This window comes from Homo sapiens, chromosome 1, assembly GCF_000001405.40.
Source record: "Homo sapiens chromosome 1, GRCh38.p14 Primary Assembly".
In the NCBI taxonomy this organism is placed as follows: domain Eukaryota; kingdom Metazoa; phylum Chordata; class Mammalia; order Primates; family Hominidae; genus Homo; species Homo sapiens.
In genome coordinates this window covers 188,058,145-188,061,602 of record NC_000001.11, presented here as the reverse complement: position 1 = coordinate 188,061,602, position 3,458 = coordinate 188,058,145, and positions in this window count along the sequence as shown.

The following is a 3,458-nucleotide window of genomic DNA, read 5'->3' as shown; positions in this document are numbered from 1 at the left end:
CACAGTGAGATACTATCTCACACCAGCCAGAATTGTTATTATTAAAAAGTCAAAAAATAATAGCTGCTGGCACGGAAGCAGAGAAAGGGAAATGCTTATATATTGCTGGTGGAAATGCAATTAGTTCAACCACTGTGGAACACAGTTTGGTGATTTCCCAGAGAACTCAAAGCTGAATTACCATTCGACCCAGCAATCCCATATTTGAGTATATACCCAAATGAATATTAATGATTCTACCATAAAGACACATGTACATGTATGTTCATCGCAGCACTATTCACAATAACAAAGACATAGAATCAACCTAGATGCCCACCAACGGTAGACTGGATAAAGAAAATGTGGTACACATACACCATGGAAAACTACACAGCCATATAAAAGAATGAGACCATGTCCTTTGCAGCAACACAGATAGAACTGGCAGCCATTATTCTAAGCAAACTAATACAAGAACAGAAAATCAAATATTGCCATGTTCTCACTTATAATTGGGAGCTCAATATCAAGTACATAATGAACACAAGTAAGGGAAAAACAGACACTGGGGCCTACTTGAGGGAAGAGAGAGGGAAGACGGTGAGGATCAAAAAACTACCTACCAGATACTATGCTTATTTCTGAGTGATGAAATAATGTCTATACCAATCCCCCATGACTTGCAACTTATCTGTATAACAAACCTGCAGTATGTACCCCTGAACCTTAAATACAAGTTAAGAAAATAAAGGCCCTATATAAGAAACTCACAGCTAACATTATACTGAATGAGGAAAAGCTGAAAGTTTCCCTCTAAGATCTGTAACAATACAAGAATACCCACTTTCACCACTACTATTCAATAGTGGAAGGGCTAGCCACAGCAGCAATAAGGCAAGAGAAAAAATTAAAAGACAACCAAATTGGAAAAGTATAAGTCAAATTGTCCCTTTTTACTGATAATATGATTTTATTTCTGTAAAAAACTAAGGCTCCACCAAAAGTCTCCTCAATACTATAAATAAATTGAATAAAGTTGCAGGACACAAAATCAGCATTCAAAAATCAGGAGCATTTCTATACATTATATTGAGCTAGCTAAAGAAATCAAGGCAATCTCATATACAATAGATTGTAACCTTAACCAAGGAAGTGAAATATTTCTACCAGGAGAACTACAAAATACTGATGAAAGAAATTAAAGATGACACAAACAAATAGACATCCCATACTCAAGGATCAAAAGAATTAATGTCATTGAAAACGAGCATGCTCCTCAAAGAAATCTACAGATGCAATGCAATCCTTAACAAAATAGTAACATCATTTTTCACAGAATTAGAGAAAGTAATCCTAAAATTTGTATGGAGCCCAAAAAGACCCCAAATAGCCAAAGCAATCCTGAGCAAGAAGAACAAAACTGGAGGTATCACATTACCTGACTTCAAAATATATTACAAAGGTAGCCCAAACAGCAGGATATTGGTAAAGAAACAGACACAGAGATTAATGGAACAGGATAGAGTCCAGAAATGAATCCATATACTTACATCTAAATGATTATTTTTAAAAGCACCAAGAGCCTACTCTTGGGAAAGAACACTATCTTCAATCAATGGTACTAGGAGACATTGGATATCTGAATACAGAAGATTGAAAATGGATGCCTATCTCTCCTCACATACAAAAATCAACCCATGATGGGTTAAAGACTTAAACATAAGACCTGAAAGTATTAAACTAGGTAGAAAAACAACAGGAAAAATACTTCAAAGGTGTTTTAGGTCTAGGCAAAGATTTCATGTCTAAGAACTAAAAAGCACAAACAACTCTAACAAAAATAAGGGAATGAAACTATATTAAACTAAAAAGCTTCTGTACAGCAAAAGAAACTATCAACAACTTGTTAAATGGAATAAAATATCTGCAAACTATTTATCTAATAATGGACTAATATACAGAACATACAAGCAACTCAAACAACTGAACAATTAAAAAAACTCATTAAAATTGGGCTAAAGACATGAACAGACATTGCACAAAAGAAGCATACAAATGGCCAATAGGTATATGAAAAATATGCTCAATATCACTAAGCATCAGGGAAATGCAAATCAAAAACACAATGAGATATTATCTTACTCCAGTTAGAATGGCTATCAGGACCAAAAAAAAAAAAAACCATGTTGGAGAAGATAAGGAGAAAACGGAACTCTTATACAATGTTGGTGAGTATGTAAATTGGTACTACTATGGAAATCAGTATGGCGAGTTCTGCAAAAATTAAAAATAGAACTACCATATGATTTAAGAATCCTACTTCTGGATATTTATCCACAGAAAAATAAATCTGTACATCCAAGGGATACCTGCGCTCACATGTTTATCACAGCACTATTCACTATAGCAAATATACGGTATCAACCTAATTATCCATTGTAGAAAAATGGATAAGGTTTTTCTGTGGTATATATCCACAGTGGCATACTATTCATTGATAAAAAAGAATGATGTCATTTTCAGCAGCATGGATGAAACTGGAGGTTATTATGTTAAGTGAAATAAAGCCAGACACAGAAAAATAGATGACAGATGTTCTCACTAATATGTAGGAGCTCAAAAACCTGATCCAATGGAGATAAAGAACGATAGATACCAGAGCATGGAAACAGTGTGTGGGTGGGAGGAGGGGATAAAGAGAGGTTGGTTATGGGTACAAACATACAGTTAGAACAAGCAAGTCACAATATTAGATAGCAGAGTAGGGTGAATATGGTTAGCAACAATGTATTGTATATTTCAAAGTAGCTACAAGAGAGGACTTAAAATTTTACCAACACACGAAAATGATAAGTATTTGGAGTGACGGATATCCCTAAGATTCTGATCTGACCATTATACATTCTATGCCTATAATAAATACTCACATATAACCTCATAAAGTTTAAAGTATTTTGTATCGATAAAAAATTAAAAATCCAAATACGTACTTGTGTACATATACACCTTTATTCTATGTATTGATAAACATATACCTGTACTTTATATTATTTATTGAAAAACCAACAATAGTATACTCAACTTTATACCAATAGTTATTATGAAAATGATGCGGTGAATAGGGGCAATTATTAATTTTCAGGCATTTATTTTGCTTTTAGTAAATATTCAATGCAAAATATCAAATAGAGCCATCCTATTCTTGGAGATAAAAATAAATTTTGATGTTAAACCAACATTCAACACATGATAGGAAAACTATTGTGTGTTGGTATCCCTTGGGATAGACATTTAGGAATCCCTGGCGATAGAAAGAAGGTATGGGCAGGTCCTTATATTTTCCCTAGTAACCTCAGGTTTCAGGTTTCTTCACTGATAAAATTCTAGAACATCCCATGGTTTCCTGATTCTGTGCTCTTTTCCTCTGTCACTTTAAACAAATGGATACTTCACTACTTAGAAAAATTATCTAAAAT